We start from the raw sequence: 25,104 nt of genomic DNA, 5'->3' as shown, positions 1-25,104 counted from the left end.
CGAATGAGAAGAAAGTAAAACAGCCCTATTGCTGATATGGAGAAAGTTTGAGTGATCTGGACAGAAGATCAAACCAGCCATAACATTCCCTTAAGCAAAAACCTAATCCAGAGCAAGGCCCTAACTTCAATTATCTGAAGACTGAGAGGTGAAGAAGCTGCAGAAGAAAAGTTGGAAGCTAGCAGAAGCTGGTTCGTGAGGTTTAAGGGAAGAAGCTGTCTCCACATCATAAAAGTGCAAGGTGAAGCAGCAAGTTTTGATATAGAAGCTGCAGCAAGTTCTAGCTAAGATCATTGATGAAAGTGACTACACTAAACAACAGATTTTCCATGTTGATGAAACAGCCTTCTATTGGAATAAAATGCTCATAGGACTTTCATAGCTAGAGAAGATAAGTAAATTACTGGTTTCAAAGCTTCAAAAGGCAGGCTGACTCTATTTTTAGGGACTAATGCAGCTGCTGACTTTAAGTTGAAACCAATGCTTATGTACCATTCTAAAAATTCTAGGGCCTTACGAATTATGGTATATCTACTCTGCCTGTGCTCTATAAGTGGAACAATAAAGCCTGGATGACAGCAGATGTATTTAAAGCATAGTGTACTGGCTATTTTAAGCCCACTGTTGAGACCTACTCCTCAGAAGAAAAGATTCCTTTCAAAATTTTACTGCTCATTTACAATGCACCTAGTCACCCAAGAGCTCTGATGGTGATGTACAAAGAGATGAATGTTCTTTTCATGGCTGCTAACACAATACCCATTCTGCAGCCCATGGATCAAAGAGTGCTTTTAATTTTCAAGTCTTATTATTTAAGAAACACATTGTGTAATGTATAGCTGTCATAAATAGTGATTCTTCTTATGGATCTGGCAAAACAAATTGGAAACCTTCTGAAAAGGGTTTCATTCTAGATGTCATGAAGAAAATTCAGGATTCATTAGAAGAGGTCAAAACATCAATATTAACAGGAGTTTGGAAGAAGTTAATTCTAACTCTCACAGATGACTTTGAGGGTTTCAAGACTTCAATGGAGTAAGTAACTGCAAATATGGTGGAAGTAGCAAGAGAACAACAATTATAAGTAGAGAATGAAGATGTGAATGAATTGCTGCAATCTTATAATAAAAGTAGAACAGATGAGCAGTTGCTTCTTATGAGCAAAAGTGATTTCTAGAGATGGAATCTACCCTGGTGAAGATGCTGGGAACAGTGTTGAAATGACACTAAAGGACTTAGAATATTATATAAACTTAGTTGATAAAGCAGCAGCAGGGTCTGAGAAGACTCACTCCAATTTTGAAAGAGGTTCTACTGTGGGTAAAATACCATCAAACAGCACCACATGCTGCAGAGAAATCTTTTCTGAAAGGAAGAGTCAATTGATGTGGCAAACTTCATTGTTGTCTTATTTAAAAAAATGGCCACAGCCACCCAACCTTCAGCAACCATCACCCTGATCAGTGGGCAGCCATCAATATTGAGTCAAAACCCTCCCCCAGCATAAAGATTATAACTTGCTGCAAGCTTAGATGATTGCTAAAATTTTTTAGCAATAAAGTATTTTTAATTAAGGTATGCATATGGTTTTTTTTAGACCTAATGCTATCGCACACTTTAAAGACTACAGTATAGTGTAAACATAACCTTTATATGTAGTGGGAAACAAAAAAAGTTGTGTGATTCACTTTATTTTGATATTCACTTTATTGTGGTGGTCTGGAACTAAACCTGCAATATCTCCAAGGTATGCCTGTATTCTCTAATCAAAGAACTGGGCATTCAAAAGTAGGTACAGAAATTAGGTTTTTTTTTTTTTTTTTTTTGCTCCAAATGTGACCTTGGACTATTAAAGATGATTTGGGGTTAAATATTTTTTTAATGGAAATATAATAAGTTATCTGTATATTTATAGTAAAGACTTGGGGCTTGGGATGATATCTGAGTCAAAATAGAGAGCTAGAAATAAGGAAGGTGGGAAAGATAAGAAAATGAGAAGGAATAAAGAAAAATGTCCCAGACCTTTGGTCCTGGAAAGCCGGGTGGCCCAGGAGGGCCTTCTAGACCAATTCTTCCAGGTGTCCCAGGTGCTCCTGGAGGTCCTGGAATTCCAGGAAAGCCTGTAAAATGATAAGTCATTTTTTAACCACCAAAGGAAAGGCACTTTAAGAAAGATATTCAAATTCCCAAACCCACATTCTACTCATGCTTAGTGACAACAGTAAGATGTCAAAAGCACAATGACATTCTACTACTTAGGATTAAGCCTTACAATCCTCTCAATCATCTTACATTCCTTTTATTTTCACATAGAGCTAATGTATGTGGAACATATGCTTTTCTGAAGAAAATGAGGGCTATTATATAATAAGATAGAACTAAATTGTAAGGAATGAATCCCACACAAAAATGCCCAAGAACTTTTCTTCTGCTTATATCTGGATGTAGTATGACAAAGGGCCTACCATATAATTTTGGAAATGATCTAAAAATAACTGCAGATATTATAGATACATACACACATAAAATCAAACCTGATACTTTTGAAAGCATTTTGTATAAATGAGTAAAGATATATTTAAGAACTGTCCTCAGACCACTGTGTGCTCTTGCCATTTGTGAGAATAAATTCTGTGAGGAATAAAGCAGAACTGAAGCATAAGCCCTAAAAATTTCAATAAATCAAGAAAATATTATTTAGCATAAAACATTACTTGGCTACACATCTGCAATAAGTCTGTTTTCTGTTTAAAAAATCCTTTAACTCAATAAACATCAAGTGCACACTATGTGTTAGGAACTGTTCTAAACCCTGAAAATACTATGGTGAACACAAAACACAATAATTCCTGTGATTTTTAAGCTTATATATCACTTTTGCATATCTAAAATGTAGATATTTTCTTGTCTGGACTGTTTTAGATAAAGATAATGAACTTACAGTGAAAATACACTGTGATTTTTTATTTACATTCTTTATAGCACAGAGAAAAAAGGTGCAATTAATATATTTTATTTGTTGAATGAATTTTATGAGAGAATAACATCATGCTAAACTTCTAACCTACTCTGCCTGCTACCCATTCCAACATACCTTTGGGACCAGGTGGTCCAGGAAGCCCAATTCCAGGGATACCTGGTTCTCCTTTGCTACCAGGTATCCCTGGCAAGCCTGGTTGCCCTGGAAGTCCAGGGTCACCTATGGAGAAACAGCAGTTATTGAAAGGAAAACGTTCAAAGAAAGAAGCCATCAGGGCCAGGTGCAGTGGCTCACTCTTGTAATCCCAGCACTTTGGGAGGCTGAGGCAATGGGTCACCTGAGGTCAGGAGTTCGAGACCAGCCTGGCCAACGTGGAGAAACTCCGTCTCTACTAAAAATACAAAAATTAACTGGGCGTGGTGGTGGGCGCCTGTAATCCCAGCTACTTGGGAGGCTGAGGCAGGGAGAACTGCTTGAACCCAGAAGTAGGAGGTTGCTGCAGCAAGCCAACATCACGCCACTGTACTCCAGCATGGGTGACAGAGCGAAACTCTGTCAAAAAAAAAAAAAAAAAAGCCATCGGTGTTGAAGTTACTTTGAAATAAATTCCTCACATACCTGGAAGACCTACATCACCATCTCTGCCTGGGTTACCAGGCAAGCCAGGCTTCCCCGGCTGGGTTATAGTCTGACCTGGATCCCCTTTAGGACCTGAAAGCAAGAGTAAATCAATGGTAAATGAGAAGTATTTACTCAACTAAAGGTCTCTTTTTAATTAAAAACAAAAAAGAAAATTATCAGCAATCTTTTGAAAATGTAAACTAACAAAAATTCACAAGAAAAACAATCTTCCACTATATATTCAAGAAATATATAAAACAGAAGGATAGAATTTCAAAAAGAAAAAGGATATGACAGCCTTAAGGACTTCCATGATTCAAGATGTATAATGGTTAATTTTAGGTTTCAACATGACTAGATTAAGAGATACTGAGATCGCTGGTAAAGCATTATTTCTAGATATGTCTGTGAGGCTGTTTCCGAAAGAAACTGACATTTGAATCAGTGAAACGAATAAGGATGATCCACCCTCACCCAATGTGTGTGGGTACCATCCAATCAGCTGAGGGACCGGATACAACAAAAAGGCAGAAAAAAAGGTGAATTCTCTGCTCTCTCTCTTTTGAAACTGGTACACCCATCCTCTCCTACCCTTGGACATCACAACTCCAGGTTCTCTGGCTTTCAGACTCTGGGACTTGTACTAAGCAGCCACTCAGGTTCTCAGGCATTCAGACTAGGACTGAGCCAAGCTACTGGCTTCCCTAGTTCTTCAACTTACAGGTGGCCTACTGTGGGATTTCTCAGCCTCCATAATCATGTAAGTCAATTCCCATAATAAATCACCTCTCATCTATCTATCTATCTATCTATCTATCTATCTATCTATCTATCTATCTAATCTACCCATCTGTCCATCCTTTTTATTGGTTCTGTTTCTCTGGAAACCCCTAAAACAGGGTGTTACCTATATAAGTATTTTTAAAATGTAGGCCAAAAGAGCATTAAAAATCAAACTGTAGTAAACAAGGAAAATATTTTTTTGGCTAATAGGTACATTTAGGTTTTACATGTGCAAAGTTCAAGTATATCTACTTCTTATTAATGGAAACATGAACTTGAAATTGGCTCAAGAAAAAAAAGATTTCCTAAACATGACACAAAAAGCACTAACCATGAGAGAAAAGATTGATAATTTTGATGATGTGAAAGTTGTTTTCTGCTCATTGAAGACACCAAACAAAGAGTAAAAATGGCAAGCCACAGTAGGTAAAGATTTCTTTTCGCAAAATACATAGGTAACTAAGAACTAATGCACAGAATATATAAAGAACTCCTCTAAATCAATAAAAAAAGAAATAATCCAATATAAAATTGGTCAAAGTACTTGATTAGGCATTTCACAAAAGCAAATTCAAATGACCAATAAACACATGAAAAGGTGCTAAACTTTAATCAGAGAAATGCAAAATATCACACTCAACAGATTGGCAAAAGTGTAAAAGTCCGACAATACAAATTGTTTCCAAGGATGTAAATCAACATAAAATATTCAACACTGCTTGTGGTAGTAAAAATTGGTACAATTGGTCTGGATAGAGTTTGTAATTATCCAGTCAAGTGGAAGATGCACTTATCCTATGCTTTGAAAATGCTAATCTTAAATACATACCCTAGCCCAGGTATTGGTAAGCCTTTTGTGTAAAGGACCAGAGTAAATACTTTAGGCTTTGTGGACCATCCAGTCTCTGTAGCAACTACTCAACTCTTCAGTTGTAGTGCAAAAACAACCACAGACAAAAGTGAATGGTTGTGGAAGTGTTCACATAAAACTTTTATTTATAACAGGTGGTAGGCTGGATGTGGTCCATGGACTGTAGTTCTGTAGTGTGCCAACTCTTGCCCTAGAGAAGTGTGAGCACATGAACACAAGGAGATATAGGGATCTATCTATCTACCTAGCTATCTATCTATATGACTGTAAACAGAAGCATTATTCATAATAGACCTGAACTGTAAATAACCCAATTAACCATTAACCATAGAATGGATCAATCAACTGTAACACACACACACACACACACATAAACATACATACAATGAAATACTATATAGCAATAAAAATGAATACACTATAGCCACACGAAAAGTTAATATAAAAAACACTTACCCTATGATTCCTTTAACATGAAGTTCAAAAAGAAACAAAATTAAAATACTCTGTTTAAAAATGCATACAGAGGTCATAAAACAGAGGGGTAATGGAAGAAAACTATGTAAAAGTCAAGACAGCAGACAGGAGGAAGGGGATTGTGATTAGGAAATGACAGGGAGAAAAGGTTAGGGGTTTCTAGGATGCTGGTAACATTCTATTTTTTGATGTGTGTGGTAGCTACCTGTGTGCTTCTGTTATAACTATTTATTAAACTTTGCATTATGTATCATGTACTTAAAAAGAGCAAAATTAACAGTAACAATGAAACAGTTAGAAAAGATTTAAAAAGAAACCCCCTTATAAAAACCATTGTGATCCCTTGCTAAGATGCTCTGAAGAGTTCAAATATAAACGGCCAGGGAAACACACCTCTCGGGAAAGGAAGCCATGAGTAGCCAAAACATAATAAATTTCTGTTTTTAAGCACCAAGTTTAAAACAAAACACAGTAAACTTACCTGGTATTCCTGGCTGGCCTGGATTTCCTGCCACACCTTGTATGCCTTTTTCACCTACTGGGCCTGGAGGGCCGAAACCAGGGGGACCCATAGGCCCTATATTCCCTGGGAGGCCTGGTAAACCTGGGTTCCCAGGGGGACCTCTTTCACCCTTAAAAGTAATTCCACCCTAAAAAGGGAAAAGTTTAATACAGAAACATATAGATACAACAACTATCTGTAGGTTGGTACTGAATACAACTGGGGAAAGGATATAGCCATAAATAGTTCTTCTTAAAAGCTATATAAGTGAGTGGTATTATGAGATGGTATGTGTGATCATTCCACTTACTCATTCCTCCAACAAATATTTTTGGGCTCCTACTATGTGTCAAGTGCTGGTGATACAACAGAAAACAAAAATACACAAAAATCTCTGACTTTATGCAGCTTACATTTTAGTGTAAGTCAGAAAGGTTATAGTCTAGATAACATTATAAAATATCACTTCCTACCTAAATATCCTGGGCTGTGTGTTATGTACAAAATAAGATTGTTCATTTATGTTAAATCTTTCAGTTCTGTGGCACATTGAACATGGCTATCTACTTGTACTATTCTCTAAGCTTACTATATATATAGAAACAAGTTAAACTGCTGGTTATGAGGTTTATTTATTTATTTATTTATTTAATTTATTGTGATGGAGTTTTGCTCTTGTTGCCCAGGGTGGAGTGCAGTGGTGCAATCTCGGCTCACTGCAACCTCCGCCTCCCGGGTTCAAGTGATTCTCCTGCCTCAGCCTCCCGAGTAGCTGGGATTACAGGCGCCCACCACCATGCCCGGCTAATTTTTGTGTTTTTAGTAGAGACAGGGTTTCACCATGTTGGCCAGGCTGGTCTCGAACTCCTGACCTCAGGTGATCCGCCCACCTCAGCCTCGCAAAGTGCTGGGATTACAGGTGTGAGCCACCATGCCCAGTCATGAGGTTTAAGTAAACCCAAGGAAAGATATGTGGGGGTTAAGAGATGGGGAACCTTATACTGTCTCATAAACATCTTAACCTCCTGCCCACCTATTCATAGAAAATAGTATTCAATATTAATGGGTTAAGAAAAATAAGTTTACAAAACAAGTGAAAGAAAAGAGTAGTGCAGAAACCCTACGTAGTCAGTAACAATGTGCCATTACTGTATGGTCACATTGTTTTAAGCATTGATTGGGTGTTTATCTCAGCATCAGTCCCATCCTTTGAATTAACTTAGAAAACATTTCTAAGTGAAAATTTAACATCACAAAACCAAAAATATCAAACCAACTCACAGGCTCTCCTTTCGGGCCAGGAAGCCCTGGCAATCCATCCTGTCCAGGAGTGCCAGGTAAACCAGGAAGCCCTGGAGCTCCAGGGGAACCCAACTCTCCTTTGTCACCCTTCATTCCTGGAAAAGTGAGGATATCACCAGGTTCACCTTTAGATCCAGGAAAGCCTGGAGCACCTGGAGCTCCTGGAATGCCCTGAAATGAGTAAGGAAAAAAAGAAAAAAGAGTGGAAAAAGAAGAAAGAGAAAAAGAAAATCAGTTTCTTTTTTTCTAACATTTTCTTCTCTCCAGTTTACCCCTTCAACCCATCCAATAACATTTAATGTACAAAGGGCTGAATCAAGTGAGGCATGTGAGTCAGGAAGAGTCAAGGAATCAAACAAAGTACAACTTAATGGAAAAATTAAATTGTATATGTGTGTATATATATGAATAATTGAAAATCAATGTGTAAAATGCCTTCCTTCTACTTCTTTTTGTTTTATAATATACTCAAAACTTACTGGTAATCCTTTGGGACCAGTTGCACCAGCTTGTCCTTTTTCCCCTTTCTGTCCAGGGAAACCAAGAGATCCTAACACACACACACACAAACAAACACACACACACACAATAACGTAAGCTTTGAGCTTGAACTCCTGACAAAGCTCATACAGAAATCATCAAGTCAGAAAGTCAAGTTTTTAAAATAAGAACCCCATTCAATCCCATTTAAGTCACATTTGTATTTTCCTTTTATGTTCACAAAATGAGGTAATCATCCTTTTTAAAAAATAAATTTAACATTTCATGTTACATACAATATTGTATCCTAAGAAACTTTCAACTCCAAAGCAGACTTTCTCAGACCTTGCAACTGCCAAATACTATGCACAACGTTTCCTGGGTTCCTATGATGTTCCCATTGCCAAAGGGAGAAAAAAGATAATGAAAAGGTTTGAATATCTTTGTTCTGACTTATGCAGTTTTCCTAGATCCTTACCAGTCCTTTCTTTGGTTTGTCATTCCCTGAAATTTGGTTTATGAGAAACATTTGCAGCCCAAAGACTAGAGGAAACATTACTAAAGCAGTGGTTCTCCAAATGGATCCCTGGATGAGTGGCATCATCACCACCTGGCTACTAATTAGAAATGCTAATTCTTGAGCCTTCATCCAGGTCTACTGAATCAGAAACTTTGAGAGTGAGGCTCAGCATTCTGGGCTTCAATAAGCCCTCCAGGTGATGCACTCTCAAGTTTGAGAACCATGAGACTAGAGGTACAAGGCTAGATTATTAATGTCCAATAATGTCTACAAGATTTGTTGAAAGTATTCCCAACCTCCAAATGAATTGGTGTCCTTAGTAGACTCACTAGACAGAAAGGTAAGAGATCTGGTGTCTATTCTCAGCCCTGACTCAAACATAAAGTGTAATTTCAAGAGAATACTGGGATACCTAAGGGGCAGTTAAATGAAACAGTTGAGGGTCTGACAGATATCACATATAGTTTTGACTGGAAAGGGGGATAGATGTGTTATATATAGAGAGAGAGGAATACTGGCAGTTGATTGCCAAACTCCAATAGAACCCCTATTCCTGAACAACAACATGTGATACATCCCCAGTGACTGGAATCTCTGCCACTGGAAACTACACTCAGGGGCTAGGCATTATGAACTTTTCTCCCAGTATTCTGGAAGAAAGAAGTCTGACTCTGTATAAGTGATTTTCTTCTCCATATGGAAAATGGGGAAGATATATTTCCTGAAATTATATTGTCAAAATGCTTTAATAGAATATATTGGTAGCTTCAGGTATTAGAAACAAGAGCATAATTAATTTGATAACAAATGGAGGCATTTCATACTTAATTCTTTATAGATATGAGTGACTAGTTATAAAATGAGAAACTGGTAACATTCTAAAAGTATAAGCTCAACAAAATCTAGCCAAAAAATATTTAGAAGGTTACCCTGAGGCATAATTTACCTGGAGGACCTGGGAGACCTGGCAAACCAGGTTGACCTGGAGGCCCTGAAATACCAGTTCCAATGCAGTTGAAGCAAGTGTCACCTTTGTCACCTAGTGAAATCATAATAACAAACAAATTTTACTGAAAGGGGTACATATACCTTCTATAGATAGGTTCTAAAAATGTTAGCACTAAGGGACAGCATTTCCACTTAATGGTGTGATTGGAGAAGCCTATATCCTGAATCAATTTATGACAAATAAATTACTGAGTGCTTACTGTGTGCCAAGAACTGTTCCAGATGCTTGTGTTACATTGGTGAGCAAAAGAAAAGTCATGGATAAAAATTCATGTCTACATGCCTCACACTCTACCAGGGGAAAGGGATAATAATCAATAAAGGAAATGAATTATCAAAATGTATATATGAAATATTTTAATAGAATATTAAGTATAGGCAGACTGCAGTAGCTCATGCCTGTAATCCCAGCACTTTGGGAGCCCGAGGCAGGCAGATAGCTTGAGATGAGGAGTTCAAGACCAGCCTGGCCAACATGGCGAAACCCCATCTCTACAGAAAAAATAAAAACATTAGCCAGGCATGGTGGTGCATGCCTGTACTTGCCAGCTACCCAGGAGGCTAAAGTGGGAGGATTGCTTGAGCCTTAGGAGATTGAGGCTGCAGTGAGCTGTGATTGCACCACTGCACTCCAGATTGGGCAACAGAGCAAGACCCTGTCTAAAAAAATTAAATATACATTAAATATTTAATATGCTTTAAAATATATTATTTTTATAGGAAAAAATAGAACTACATAAGTGGTATTGAGTATGCCAGGGAAGGGTGGGGGGTTGCAATTTTAAATAGGGTAGTCAGGATAGACTTGATTGAGAAGTTGTTATATGATAAAACTTAAAGGACATGACATGTGCATAAGAGTGTAGAACATCCCAAGCAGAAAGAATAGCCATGTTTGGTATATACAAGGAACAGCAAGCAGACCAGATTGCTAGAGCAGAATGAGGGAGGGGAACAAGGTCAGAAAGTTGACAGTTTATAACGAATGGCATATAGGCATATAAGAAATATAAAGGCTGTGGTTTTTACTGTGAGTGAAATGAGAATCTAGTAGAAAATTTTAAAAAGAAAAGCAACATGTTATAACTTAAGTTTTTAAGGGATGACTCTAGCTGCTATGTTAATAGCCTCTAAAGGCAATGATGGAAACAGGGTAACCACTTAAGTGGCTACTGTTGCAATGATCTAGGAGAGAGATGGTGGTAGCTCATTTCAAAGTGACTGCAATGAAAATGATCAGAACCGGTTAGATTATAGACATATCTGAAAGTAGAGCCAATGAGATGTTCTCATGGATCATATATGAAATACAAAAGAAGAGGGGAATCAAGGATGACTCCAAGGTTTTCAGCATGAGCAACTAGAAGGCTAAAGTGGCCTGCTTTTTAAGTAAGAAGCTGAAGATGTGAGTGCAGCAACTATGGGGAGGAGGTGGCAGAAATCAAGACTTCAATTTGATCAGGATGTCAAGTTCAAAATGTTGACTAGGCAAATGGATACACAAATCTAGAGGAAAAGAGTTATATCTGGATAGGAGGCATAAATTTGGAAGTCATGGGCAATTAGGTGGTATTAACAGTCACAAGACTGAATAAATGAGTTTATATAGAAAAGAAGAACAAGGACTCAACCTTGGAGCATTTTAAACTTAAAAGTTGGATAGATAATTCTAAGATGCACACAAAATAATGCAAAGAACCTAGAATATCCAACACTTACAATAAAGCCACAGTAATTAAGATAGTATCGTATTGGTGCAAAGAGAGACTAATGAAACAACAGAACAGAATAGAGCAGTCAGAAACAGACCTACACACATATGGTCATGTGATCTACAAAAAGTGCTAATGCAATTCATTGGGGTAATTGATGATCTTTTGTTCTATAGTACTGAGTCAACTGGACATCCATATGGGAAAAATGAACTTTGATCCCTACTCCAAACTATACACAAAAATTAATTGAAGAAAGATCAAAACGTGAAAGGTAAAACAATAAAGTGTCTAGAAGAAAACACAGAGGAATATCATCAGGCCTCTGAGATAAGTAAAGATTTCTAAAACAGTGCATAAAAAGTACTAACGATAAAATAGGAAATTAATTAATTTGATTTCATTTAATTAGCAACTTTTGTTAAACAAAAGTTAACAAAACAGAAGATAGTTTTAATACATATATCCAATAATCAAATTAAAGATAAAGACAGGCACTTTACAAAAGAGAATATAAAAACTGTAAGGAAATAGTTCATAATCAAGTCATTAGGCAAACGCAAATGAAAATCACTTTGGAACATGGTTTGGTAATATCTATGAAACAAAACCTACACCTAACCTATAACCCAGCAATTCAATTTCCAGATATATCCCCAATAAAAATTAGTGTTTATGTCCTACAAAAAAAATACACGTACAAGAATATTTATGACAGCTTTATTCACAATAGCTCCAGACCAAATGTCCATCAACATTAGAATATTGAGGTAATGTGCAGTGGAAAACAAAGAATGGTGGAAAAATACTGCAACAAACAAGAACATAGATATATCTCACATATATTTAGCTAAAGAAACCAGGCACAAAAGAGCTCATACAGTATAATTCCATGTACACAAAGTTCAAGATTAGGCAAATTAATATATGCCAGAGGATAAAATAGTGATTACCTTTGGGGGATACTGAGTAGGGAGCACAAGAGTCTTCCAGGGTCCTGAAAATGTTCTATATTTTGGTTTAGATGGTAATTACATGGATACACATACACACACACACACACATATATGTACACCACAGAGGAATGAAAAAAAAAAAACAGGAAATGTACTGAAAGCTAAGGGATGCAAATGTTTAAAGAAGGCAAAAAGCAAGCAAAAAAAGGACAGACCTGACATTTGGATTAGTAGGATATAGACTGCTGGTGACTGACCAGCATTTGTGGAGTGGTAGGCAGTGGGGAGTTGGGGGAAGAGGGGATGAAATCTTGATTGGAGTATGTTTAAGAGAAAACAAGAGGAGAGTATCTAGAGGTAATGAGGAGAAAATTCTTAGGAAGTTTTGTTGCAAATGAGAATAGAAAAATAGAGAAACAGCTGGCAGGGAATGTAGGATTACATTTTTTTAGATAGGTGAAAAAAGCATATTTGTATGCTCCTTGGAATGACTGAATAGAGAGGGAAAAATTGGTGATGTCGGAGAGGCAAAAATTGCTGGAAAAAAAATCCTTGGGGAAATAAGAGGAAATGGAATCTATTGTATAAATAGAAGAACTGGCTTTAGATAGGAGCAGTAACAGTAATATGCAAGAAGGGAGACTATATGGGCACAGGTGCAAGTAGGTAAGTAAATATGGTGGTAGCAATCAGTGAAAGTTCTCTTGTTATTGCTTTAATTGGTCAGTGAAGTAGGAAGCAAGGTAAGAATAGGGGAGGAACTGTTAAAACTTGAAAAGAGAAGAGAAAGTGTAGGCTCAGAAAACATGAAAATTTGGATTATGCTTTTGTTCCAAGTGAGTGCAATGAAGTGAGAGAAGGGCAAAGGAATCATGGATTTATGAATGGAATTGATTACAGTGATTGATAATGGAACTTAAGCAAGGTTAAGAGGGAAGAAAGGACATCAAAAAGTTAAGCATTAGTCAAAGTTGCTAGGTCTCAGTGGGGTTGGAGTATTGCTGGAGTCAGGTTACTAGAGGTAGTAAGCTAGAAAGAAGAGAGCGATCCAAAAAATGGGATGCATGAAACCAAGGTCATGTAAGTATAACACTATTGGTAATGAGATGGTCTTGGGGTATGACCATGGGAGTCAGTGGCTAAGGTGTGATGGAGGATACAGGGGATTTTGCTGATGATTTGAAAGAATGAAGAAAATGAAGGAATGAATATGTTTGGAGATCAAACCTTTCACTCCTTGTTCTCCTTGGAGTCCTTTATCACCTGGAGATCCTGGGGGGCCTGGAGGGCCTGGTTCACATATCTCATCACCTGAGTAAGATAAAGAAAGGATAGCAAGCTAATTGTGAAATATCCAGAAGATTAAACAAAAGAAAGCCTGACAAGCCAGAAAAAGACCTATTCTCTGAAGAAATAAAAGTACCTATAAGCAAAAGGAAAATATAACATTGCTGATAAATACTATATGAAGAGCAAATGTAAACATCCAAGAACTACCAAAACCCAAAAAGCAGAAGCAGTGGTAGAATTTCTTAGATATCAGAAACGCAACAAATGAGGCCAACCTTTAGCTAGAGTTACTTATAAACAAAATAAACAAAAACAAAAATAGAACTTAATAGGAGAAAAATATAGCTTACTAGGAGGAATGTGAGGGCCAGCAGGGCCAGGAGGCCCTGGAAGCCCAGGAGCCCCAGGCTGTCCGTCAAGTCCAGGAGGTCCAGGAATGGAAATTCCAGGTGGTCCTTCATCACCTTTCTGACCCCTTTCTCCAGGAAATCCAGGAGGGCCAGGAGGACCCATAACTGCAGCCCCTAAGATTCAAAAAAGTGATCAAAATGATTTCATCTTAGAGATGTTACTTTAGTTCTCATTGAGACATTAGATAATGATAAGATCTTCCTTTAACATATAATTCTGGTTATGTTATTTTTTTTCTATGAGACTCAAAAGTCTGAAAAAAAGGTTGAAAAGTTTCAAAGAATGTAAGTAACAGTTTGAGGGTAGGAAATAATAATTTAAAGTAGGTTTACTACTTTTGGAAATTACTAGTAACCCCATCCTTTGACAATCTGTTCTTATAATCTCAAAAATACCGGAAAGTCATTAGCAAGATAAAAAGGTATTTCAAAGTTACCATATAAACATGGCTCTGTTTCCGGACATTCTTCTGTTACACTGGTGATTCATGCACCATTAACACACTTTTTAGTTACTATGACTTTATAATGTTTTCAAAACTGCTAAGGAAAATACGCTCATCTTTGTTCATTTTTAAAACCATCTACAAATTTACTTTTCTAAATAAATTTTTCAGTTTCATTTTCAAAAACTGGTTGGGATTCTGAATGGGATTAATTTGAAGTTAAAGATTATTTTTTGGTAGAATCAACTGTTTATTATATTGGTTTTTCACATCAAGTAATAATTAAATTTATTTCTCTATTTAGTAATTTTATATTATTTAATAATAATTTACAAAATTCTGCAAAGAAGTCTTACACATGTATTGTTGGGGTTATTCTACTGTGAATTTTAATACTATTACTATTGTGAAGTGTATTTTTTTCTCTTGTACGTTTGCTGGTGAAGAGGAAGGCAAATTAAGTATGCTACTCAGATCTGGCCATCTTGCACACATATTCTCTTTAAGTTCTGGGAATTTGTCAATGGATTTTTTAAAGCTTTCTGGTAGATAATCAGATGGTCTCTGAATAACTGAAATTATTTCTTGCCCAAATCTGTTATTTTATGACTTTTTAATAATAGCCATTCTAATGTGTTAGTATCTCATTGTGGTTTTACTTTGCATTTATTTGCTGATTAGTGATGTTAAGCATTTTTTCATGTTTGTTGGCCACATATATGTCTTATTTTAAGAAGTGTTCTGTTCATGTCTTTTGCCCAGTTTTTAATGGGGTTATTTTTTTCTCTTATTGATTTGTCTAAGTTCCTTATATTAATAGATTCTGGATATTAGTCCTTTGCCAGATGCACAGTTTACAATTATTTTCACCCATTCTGTAGGCTATTTACTCCACTGATTGTTTCTTTTGCTGTGCAGAAGCTCTTTAGTTTAATTAAGTCCCAATTGTCTATTGTTGTTTTGGTTACATTTACTTTTGAAGTCTTAGTCATAAATCTTTACCTAGGTCAATGTCCAGAAAAGTTTTTCCTGCATTTTCTTCTAGAATTTTTATAGTTTCAAGTTTTGAATTTAATTATATTTCATACTATATTAGAATTGCTAAACCAGCTTTTTTATGTATAGCATTTGCCCAATATATACTGCATTATTTTCAGATTGTATCTGTCACTTTGCTTTAGATATGTCTACTGTGCACTATATATAGGTATTTTTAATTTCAATTTTATTTTAGTCACTGTCTTTTAATCAGTGTTTAGTCCTTTCAAATTTGTTGGAGTTACTGACTTATTTTTAATTTCTTCTTGTCACCTTATATTTTATTTTCTATTTACCCAGATTTGTCTTTATTTTGCCCCCATCTTAACTTATACTATATATGAGACTTTTAGTCATTTTCTTTCTTCAATTGGTGTGTATGTTATACATTTTATTTCTATTCTTCTCTAGTGGCTACTATTAACATTTTAACCTATGTACTTAAACATGTATACATTTCTAAAAATTTATACAGTTAACAAGATTTATATTATCTTTCCCTAACAAGACAAAAACTCTTATCCTTATTCTCTCTGCATCTACACATCACGTTAATAATGTTTACAATTATAGCTCCAAGTTGTTACTTAAAACACCTTTTTAAAAAATAACCAGTACTGATTTAGACTTAATATGCTTTACTAATATATTTTCTAAGCTTTGGTTCTTGCATCCTACCGCTATTCTCATTTTATCCAGAATTCCCTTTTTTCTTTTTGGAGTAAAACCTCCAGTAACTATTTCAGAGACAGTCTGAAGGTGTTAAACTTCCTATGTATCTCATCTTCACATTAGGATGATAGTTTAATGTAATACAGAATCCCTAATTCATAGTAATTTGTCCTTATCACTTTGAAAATGTGCTCCATTATCATCCTCTGACTCACTGCTTTGTAGGTGATTGGCCTTTTGTTCTCAAATAGTTTTTAAGAGCTTCTTTTTATCCCTGAATTCTGAAATGTCCCTACAATGTGTCTAGTTATGGACCTTTGCATTACTATTATTTTACTATTGCTTAGTGCTTCATGAGCTTTTTCATAGTGATGCATGTGTTTTTTAATAGATGGAAGTTCTCAGCCATTATTTTTTTTCAAATGCTGCCTCTTGTCCCATTCTCTCCTCCTTGACCTCCCTCATGAGATAATTTTGGAGCTTCTAGGTTTATCTTTCATACCTCTTAACTTTTCATTCATACTTCCCAACTCCTTATCTCTTTTACTGCATCCTGAGATAATTCTTTATTTCAATTTTCCAGATACAGTCTGTATTTAATTCACTATCTTGAGGTTAGGAATCTGAAGTTCACATTTAGGAATCTGAAGTTTGCATTTAGAGCATAATGGAACCTATATTTATTTTCTTTCTCTTGGGAAAGATCACTGAATATCACTCATCTCATCATTTTAGTATTTCATTAGCCACGTATTTTTGAAGGAAAAGGAATAATAATTTATTGAATATGTATGTGTGCCAGGCACTGTACCACATGCATCTAGAAATCTTACGGAAATCACTATTATTACCCTATTTCAGAGAACATTCAAATAAACATTCTAGATAAGGGCAGTACTCAATTTGTGGCCAAATTAGAAATGTTCCACTATACTGTGTGTTTTCAAAGGGAATAATATAAAACTCAGTATTGAGCTCTAAGATTTTATTGTATAACAAAATCACCATGGGGATTTCTAGTTAGGTATTTCTGAAATTTTAGGTGGATAACGCTGCTTGCCATTTTTATACAGGAAATCTTGCAAAACTAGGCATTACTTGGGGAGAATATCCTTCCCTATTAGCATGAAAAGTGTGATGATTTGCCTACTAAATTAAGAATTGTTTGGTGTAATTTATTAATAATAAAATATACCCCAGTTAATATGGCTATCATCAAAAAGACAAAAAATAACAGATGCTGCAAGGATGCAGAGAAGAGGGAACTCTCACACACTGTTGGTGGGAATGTAAATTAATGCAACCATTATGAAAAAAAGTATGGAGGTTCTTCAAAAAACTAAAAATAGAACTACCATATGTTCCAACAATCTCACGTCTGGGTATATATTCAAAAGAAAATAAATTAGTAATTCAAAGAGATATCTGCACTTCCATGTTTATTGTAGCAATATTCACAATAGCCAAGATATGAAATCAACCTGAATGTTCATCAGTGGATGAACAGATAAAGGAAATGTGGTATAAATACACAATGGAATATTATTTGGCCATAAAAGAACGGAGTTCTATCATTTGCAGCAACATGGATGAGCCTGAAGGACATTACGTTAAGTGAAATAAACCAGGCACAGAAAGGCAAATACAAATGCATGTTCTCATTCTTACGTAGGAGGTTAAAAAAAAAAAGTTGATCTCATGGAGGTGGAGAGTAGAATGATGGTTACCAGGGGCTGGGAAGGGTCGGGGGAAATGAAGAAAGGTTGGTTAATGGGTACAAACATACAGTTAGATAGAAGCAATAAGTTTCAGTGTTTGGTAGCACAGTAGATTCACAGCAGTTAACAACAACTTACTGTATATTTCAAAACAGCTAGAAGAGAAGATTTTGAATGTTCCCAACATAAAGAAAAGATAAATACTTGAGGTAATGGATATTCTAGTTACCTTGATTTAATCATTATACATTGGACTCATGTATTAAAATATCACATGTATCCCATAAATATGTACAATTATGTATCAATAAAAAATAAAATGTAGAAATAGGAATCTTAGGATTAAAGGACACTATTCACTTGGGCTTTTTTAAAGTACAAGTGAGTAATATGGTGAGAGAAGGTATAGTAAGAGTTGGGAAGTATCTGTCAATTAAAAAGGACTTGTGTCTCCTACTTCCATGCTGACCATGGAACTAATGTGATAAAAAGTATACATGGATTAGTAAGGATGCTATAAGAACAAGGCCATAAATGCAATCTCATTTACCTGGAGGTCCAGGAAGGCCAGGTGGACCCTGTATTCCAGGAAATCCTCGCTCTCCTTTTTCTCCAGGCAACCCAGGCAACCCAATGTTTCCTTTTTCTCCTATAGTTATACCAGTCCCAGGTCTAGGAATTACCTTTATTACCAAAGAAAAAAAAAATAAAGAAATGCAAAGAAGAAAAGCCTTGTTCTCCTGAAAACATTATGGGAGCTACATATGATTACAATGTCATCATTTTCACATAGTTTATGAGTCACATTTTGTATCACTCCCATCCTCCAACTGATTAGAAAATGTCCAATACAAGTAACAACATTACCATGTTCCTGAGCCCGAAGCATATAAAACTAAAAGTATTTTTGATGTCTCTTCTCCTATAATTCACATTCAATTCATTCCAATCTCCTAAGCCTGACAATTCTTTACAGAAAACGTCTCTCCAATTTGCTCCCTTGATTTCTGCTGCCACAGCTATATTATCAACTCACACTTAGAGTAATAGAAGCACCTCTGATCTTGTCCCTTGAATTCCAATCTATTGTTAGGATATGCTTCCTCAAAAACCATTTGTGTGTGTGTGTTAACTATTCTGCTTAAGGACTCAAAATTGCTCACTACTTTTTACTATAAGTGCTGCTACTTTTAATCCTGAACTGTAAGTCACCTCTCACTTCCAATACTTCTCTCACCTATTTAATCTCCTACTACGTCTTACAATAAATTTTTATTATAGTGAAGTCTGTCTGATTCTAACCATTTCATTCAACTTGCACGTTCTTGTCTATGTCTTTGCATATTTCATTCCAAACATGTGTAATGCCTTTCCCCAATCTTTCTCTTTATTAACCCACATTTATTTCTTCCTTTAAAAAAGAAAACTCCCCCATAAATATATATACCTACTATATACCAAAAAAATTTAAAAATAAAACCCATGTTCTTTATTGATTAAACCCAACTAACTAATCATTTCTTTTTACTCTGTATTCTTGTAACTCATTAAGTATTTTCTTAAAAAACTTAATATTAAATAAATTAAATATTAACAAATTCTTCTTATAGACCTATAAAGGTAAATGAACTTCAGATTTAAGAGACTGCCAGTCTGATGTACAAATCAACACCTAATAGCAGTGTGATATTTCATCCTGTCTCTATTGGATGGATATAAGAAATATTCACACAAAAGAAGACAAAAAGTTGTGGGACCTAAGATTGGAATAGTGATTCAAAAGGGAAACTAGGCTGCTAAATAGGACTGTACTCTCAAAATTTCCATTTCTTCTGATACTTATTAAAATTTTATCTTCTCATTTTATAAAGAGATTATTTCCTAGAGGACTGAAGCTGATTTTAAAATGAAAGTGAATAAAAAATATCTAAGATCTTCTTTAAGTATATCCTCATTAGATTTAGTACAGTCCTAAGTATTAATAACTGAGACTCATTATGGATAATACGAATTAAGTTAATGTTACTAACATGTCTGGACACATAAGTTTTCCAACATTCGCACTGTTGCGGCTTCAATGCAGTTTGAAGTCAAGAGTCTTACTAAATTTCAACCAAAGAAAAACCAATATGTTAAACCTCAGCAATGATATTTTATTCCTAATAAGACTGGAAGTATATTTGACTTAAATTTCATAGTGAACACAAACATGACAGAAAATCTGTAGCTCCGCCACCCTCAATTATTCTTTCATAAAGCAGCTTCCTACATGCGTTATTAAAAGTCCCTAGAAAGCACACACTCAGGAAAGAAAGAAGTGTGAATCAGACAATTACAAATTGAGAAAACCTATTAAGACCAAATCTATCTTTCTCCTGAGCTCTGCAGGGGAAAGGACCAATCCCCCACCCCCACCCCAACTTCCCCAAGTTTTGTTTTGTTGTTGTTGTTTTCATTGAACCTTTGTAAGCAACACTTGCACCACCTGCTGGTTGCTTGAGAAATGATCTGGCAATCATGAGGCAAAACAACCCAATGCCATAATTTTAGACCTTTACCATGCAGAAGTAATGCATAGGCAGAACAATACAAAGACCTTGAGGTCAACATTACTGAAGATTTTAGATGTAAAGACTTTTAAGCCAGTAGAAATTGATAATGACTTGAAATTTTGTGTTCTATCAAGAAAAAGTAGGGAGTATGCGATTAAGGCACAAAAATGATAATGCATTAATAAATTTGATAAACGAAGACTAAAAAAAAAAAACTTACAAGTCCAGGAGGTCCAGGTGGGCCAGTGTCACCTTTTTGGCCCTGTTCAATGCAATTGTAAAATAGGTTAGTAAAATTCACATGAAAACATCAATTTCCTCAAGAATATAAGAGAAACTTTCCAAAAAGACCCAGAAATCAATCATAAAATACCTCAAATGAGAAATGCAACATGAAGTAATGAAACAATTCTGAGCTAAGCCTAACCTGTGATGGTGTCTCAGATTTACTAGCTATGTAATCTTCACCAAGTTAATTAACTTCTCTGGTTTATATAGAAAGAATAAAGATTTTTGGACCAGAGTTTTAAGGTATTTCTAGTTGTAATATTCTTTGATTTTTAAGATTCCTATTTCTAGCCAACTACAAATACTCTATAAAGAAGATAATAGAAAAAAAATGGTAGCACTAGAATCAGTGAAAAAATTACTTTTTTTTTTTTTTTTTTTTTTACATTTAGCCATGTTTCTTCTCATAAAACTAGTCAAGGACATAAATGTAGTGCCATTTCTATTAGTGACAGACATTTTAGATGTGATGGACTTAACTATCATCAATAATAGCTAGTAAATCTGAATTGCTTTCATGAGCTTGCTCTTAGAAGCTAATGAAAGACAAGTTCAGATAAAACTTTTATCCTTGATTAGTAGCTACAACAGCATGAAAAAAACCACAATATTCAATATTCAAGTGTTACTCTACTACTGGCCAAGACACAAGGATGGTCTTTTTCATACTTCTATTCTGACTCTAAACTTGTTCATAGAAGCCATCCATCTATATACAAATACTATTTGACAAAAAATCATTTTATCGGAGTATTTCCTACCTCCATCTATTCTAATTGTGCCTTTTAAGCCATGCTAGAACTTGGACCTAATTTAAAAATAAACCACCATTAAAATATGTGCCTTCTGGGTACATTCAAGTTTGTAACGCCTTTCCTTCCTTGCCTGAAAAACCAAAAAGCTTTCAGTTTTTGATACGAAGCAATTAAAAACAAGAGGGATTGGAGGACTGGTTATTTTGTGCCCTGCTAAAAATCTGGTAATTGTATGCTTCATACAATCTTTCAAAGTCACTTGAAAAATAGGTAACTAAATAAATGACCTCAGTCAGACTGCATTGGCCCAGTAGGGGGGAAAAAACAACAAAGAATTAGCCACAGACTTACAGACAATAATTGCATACAGAATGGAAATGTTTAGTGGCGACGTTCTACATTCACAGTTATAAGCCTTTTTAGTAAGAGGACCTCACTAAAATAGTGCTGAATTCTCTTTGTGGAAAAAAAGAAGTTTTGCCGATACATGCTCAAAGTAAAGGCAATGACTTTTCACAGTGGAAATGCTAAAGTTAAACAATGCTTAATGTATTTCTGCAACATGGACTGTGATTTATGGCAATGGAATAAAATTTAGCAAGTGTGGTATAAAAGAAAAATGAGCAAAAGATGAATAAAGAAGGCATATTTTGAATATAAAAGCTAGTTATGTAGACTTTTTCCATTTATAACTCAAGCCTGGGAGAAGAAAAGGATTATTTTAGCTAGACTAAACCAGTCACTTCAAAGTATTAAAATTCTTACCTTTTCACCATCCCTTCCGGGTTCACCAGGGTAACCAGGATCACCAGGCAAACCCTTTAAAACATAGAGGATAGGGTGACATCAGCACAAATGATGGTGTTAGGAAATCTCCAAAGATTGTCTTCTCCATAGAAGCAATGAGAATACTGGCAAAAATGGTCAGTCAGAATTAACTTTCAGAACTTAACCAAAGCTTGCAGCAATTCAAGGAGTGTTTTCTCAGAAAAAAAAAAAAAAAAAAAGCTGAATCTTGGTGAGAACTCAGAGCTTTGTGGCATTTTAACTTGCTCTATTCCTACCACCTCTCAGAGATTTATGGCATTTTAACTTGCTCTATTCCCACCACCTCTCAGAGCTTTGTGGCATTTTAACTTGCTCTATTCACACCACCTCTCCTCACAATCAAGGTGAAAACCAGCAGCCTAGCAGCAATTGGAGAGGAAAGAACAGGGTTGGAGCTCCTTCAAAGCCCCATATCCAGAGAATTATCATTATTTGATCTGTCTGCTGGTTCAAAAGAAGGCTATTTGCAAGGCTGCCTTTATTTGACCCAACTTGGGTTCTCCCAGTGCAAACAGAGAACAAGAGAACAGCCTCCCCACCCCGCAACCCCAATTTGTTGAAAACACTAAGAGGCAATTGTTGAATATCACAGCTGCCTGAATCAAGACAAAGACCAATTGTTCCAAAAGAAGCCAGGAACTGAGGCCCTGAATTTACCTCTTGATATTTTATAATATAAAATATTTTTGAACTAGAGATTGTAAGTTGAGGATTGCCTGTTTAGTAAAATATCCTGAAACCAATTTATCTGAATTTAGTAATTCTAACCTGTCTTGTTAAGAATTATCCTTTTCCCTTAGAATAACTTACAAATTTCATCAAATATTCTCTCTGTCTTTGAAAAACTCTTGCCTACTGCGGATACTCTTGATACTGAAGCTGCTTGAAATAATGTTCTTGGACTTACATATTTTATTTCCCATGCCCCTTTTTGGTAGTAAGTAGAAGAATTACCTGTCAAAACTTTTACTGAAAAAACATGTTCACACACACACAAAAAAACTGTATGGGAATATTTATATTCATATAAATATTTTTATATGAATATAAAAGTTTTATTCATAATGGCCAAAACACAGAAATAACCAAAATATCCTTCAATGTGTAAATGGACAAACAAACCATGGTATATTCAAACTATCAAATACTACTCAGCAATAAAAAAATGAACTGATACACAATTCAATGTATTATGTTATGTGAAAGGATCCTGATTCGAAAGGCTACATACAATATGATCCAATGTATCTGACATTTGGGAATAGGCAAAATTAAAGAGATTGACAAAAGATCAGTCGTTATAAGGGGGTTGGGATAGGGGAATAGGGAGGGGATAACTAAAAAAGAGCATGAGGGAACTTTTGAAGGTGATGGAAGTGTTCTTGATTATGGTGGTGGTGACACAACTGTATGTGTTTGTCAAACACAGAACTGTAAACTAAAAATAGTTCCTTTTACTTTATGTAAATTATATCTCAATAAATCTGACTTTAAAAAATAGAGGAACCTCAAATTTATATTTGGTGTAACTGGATTGTTTGTAATGCAAAGGATAAATGCTTGAGGGGATGAATACCCCATTCTCTGTGATGTCCTTATTTCACATTACATACATGTATCAAAACATCTCATGTACCTCATAAATAAATATATACACCTACTATGTACTCACAAAATTTTTTAAAAATTGAAAATTATATTCAAAAGACAAAGACTGGATAATTTCAATTCATTTAAACTATTTCCAGACCCCACAATTTTTGTCATACTGCTTCTCTGCCACCTTATGTTATACCAACACATAAATGTCTCCAGTTTTGCAGGGGGAAAGAACCTTAGCTACTTACAGGAATTCCTGGTTGGCCATTTTCTCCATCTTTGCCTGGTTTACCCTATAGGATACAAAGAAATGATAGGGCAACAACATACATTTGTTAGTTAGGAAGCATAAAGTTAAAGAATATAACAAGCTTTATTCCTGGCTTGGACTATATTAAGTAGACTTTTTAGACATCAACATTATAATGTCAGTAGTGATATTTTGAAACAATGGAAGATGTAGGAAGAAAGAATAAAATCACACACACACACATTTAGAATTTTTTTGCAAAGAATATTAGCAGTTACATCACTTACTCTTTTGCCTGGCTCTCCTTGCTCACCCTTCTCACCTTTCTCACCACCTGGGGGACCCTGTACACATAAAAATAGTTTCACAATGGTTCATGGGATACTGTGTACCAATACCAATTTACATTAAATGATGCTAAAGCACTTTAGGTACTTACTGGAGGACCACGTATCCCTGGAGGTCCAGGAGGCCCTCGGTCACCAGGAAGTCCCTATGCAGTAGTAGGGGAAAGGAAATCAATGTTAATACTGGAACATGCATTTTCATTCTAAGCACTAGAGCTAGCTAGGAGCATTTTTAATAAACTGAACCACAGCTACATCTATGTTGGAGCAACATGGTTAGAGCTGGAGGCTATAATCCTAAGTGAATTAATGCATGAACAAAAAATCAAATACCACATGTTCTCACTTATAACTGAGAACTAAACATTGGGGACACAAGGACATAAAGATGGCAACAATAGACACTGGGGACTACTAAGAGTAGAGGGAGGCAGGTAATACTTGTAAAACTAACTTCTGAGTACTATGTTCACTACCTGGCTGATGGGATCTGTACCCCAAACCTCAGCATCACACAATATACCTATGTGACAAACCTGTACATGTACCCCCTGTATCTAAAATAAAGGTTGACTTTTTTAAATAATAAAATAAAATAAAAATAAATCTCCCCCTAAAAAAATTAAACTGAACTGAATACTCATGTAGTACAACCAAAGATAATAGGGTGTTTCTAACTTAAAGTTGAAATCTTCTAGG

General features: G+C 35.5%; 1 protein-coding gene across 9 annotated transcripts in view, besides 1 other annotated feature; it reads right to left on the bottom strand.

Annotated features, from left to right (window-relative positions):
* COL4A5 (collagen type IV alpha 5 chain) overlaps nucleotides 1-25,104 on the bottom strand; it is a 257,708-nt gene that overhangs the window by 92,462 nt on the left and 140,142 nt on the right. For all 9 annotated transcript variants that reach the window (XM_047441810.1, NM_033380.3, NM_000495.5 and 6 more), the window contains 15 exons: nucleotides 24,498-24,551; nucleotides 24,346-24,402; nucleotides 24,057-24,101; nucleotides 22,147-22,200; nucleotides 20,559-20,600; nucleotides 18,337-18,469; nucleotides 13,853-14,026; nucleotides 13,440-13,523; nucleotides 9,483-9,575; nucleotides 8,016-8,086; nucleotides 7,516-7,707; nucleotides 6,214-6,382; nucleotides 3,599-3,691; nucleotides 3,095-3,199; nucleotides 2,023-2,120 (listed from right to left, as the gene is read on the bottom strand). In XM_047441810.1, the coding sequence (XP_047297766.1) occupies nucleotides 2,023-2,120; nucleotides 3,095-3,199; nucleotides 3,599-3,691; nucleotides 6,214-6,382; nucleotides 7,516-7,707; nucleotides 8,016-8,086; nucleotides 9,483-9,575; nucleotides 13,440-13,523; nucleotides 13,853-14,026; nucleotides 18,337-18,469; nucleotides 20,559-20,600; nucleotides 22,147-22,200; nucleotides 24,057-24,101; nucleotides 24,346-24,402; nucleotides 24,498-24,551 (1,464 nt within the window). The remainder of the gene's footprint in view (nucleotides 1-2,022; nucleotides 2,121-3,094; nucleotides 3,200-3,598; nucleotides 3,692-6,213; nucleotides 6,383-7,515; nucleotides 7,708-8,015; nucleotides 8,087-9,482; nucleotides 9,576-13,439; nucleotides 13,524-13,852; nucleotides 14,027-18,336; nucleotides 18,470-20,558; nucleotides 20,601-22,146; nucleotides 22,201-24,056; nucleotides 24,102-24,345; nucleotides 24,403-24,497; nucleotides 24,552-25,104) is intronic.
* Nucleotides 3,774-4,704: an enhancer, noted in NCBI's record as "H3K27ac hESC enhancer chrX:107843610-107844540 (GRCh37/hg19 assembly coordinates)". NCBI's record gives its function as "activates a minimal SCP1, AML or CMV promoter by ChIP-STARR-seq in primed H9 embryonic stem cells {active_cell/tissue: H9 hESC(primed)}" and the evidence as "EXISTENCE:reporter gene assay evidence [ECO:0000049][PMID:30033119]".

The sequence above is a fragment of the Homo sapiens genome, chromosome X (assembly GCF_000001405.40).
Source record: "Homo sapiens chromosome X, GRCh38.p14 Primary Assembly".
NCBI classification, from domain to species: domain Eukaryota; kingdom Metazoa; phylum Chordata; class Mammalia; order Primates; family Hominidae; genus Homo; species Homo sapiens.
This window is presented reverse-complemented; position numbering and strand designations above follow the sequence as displayed.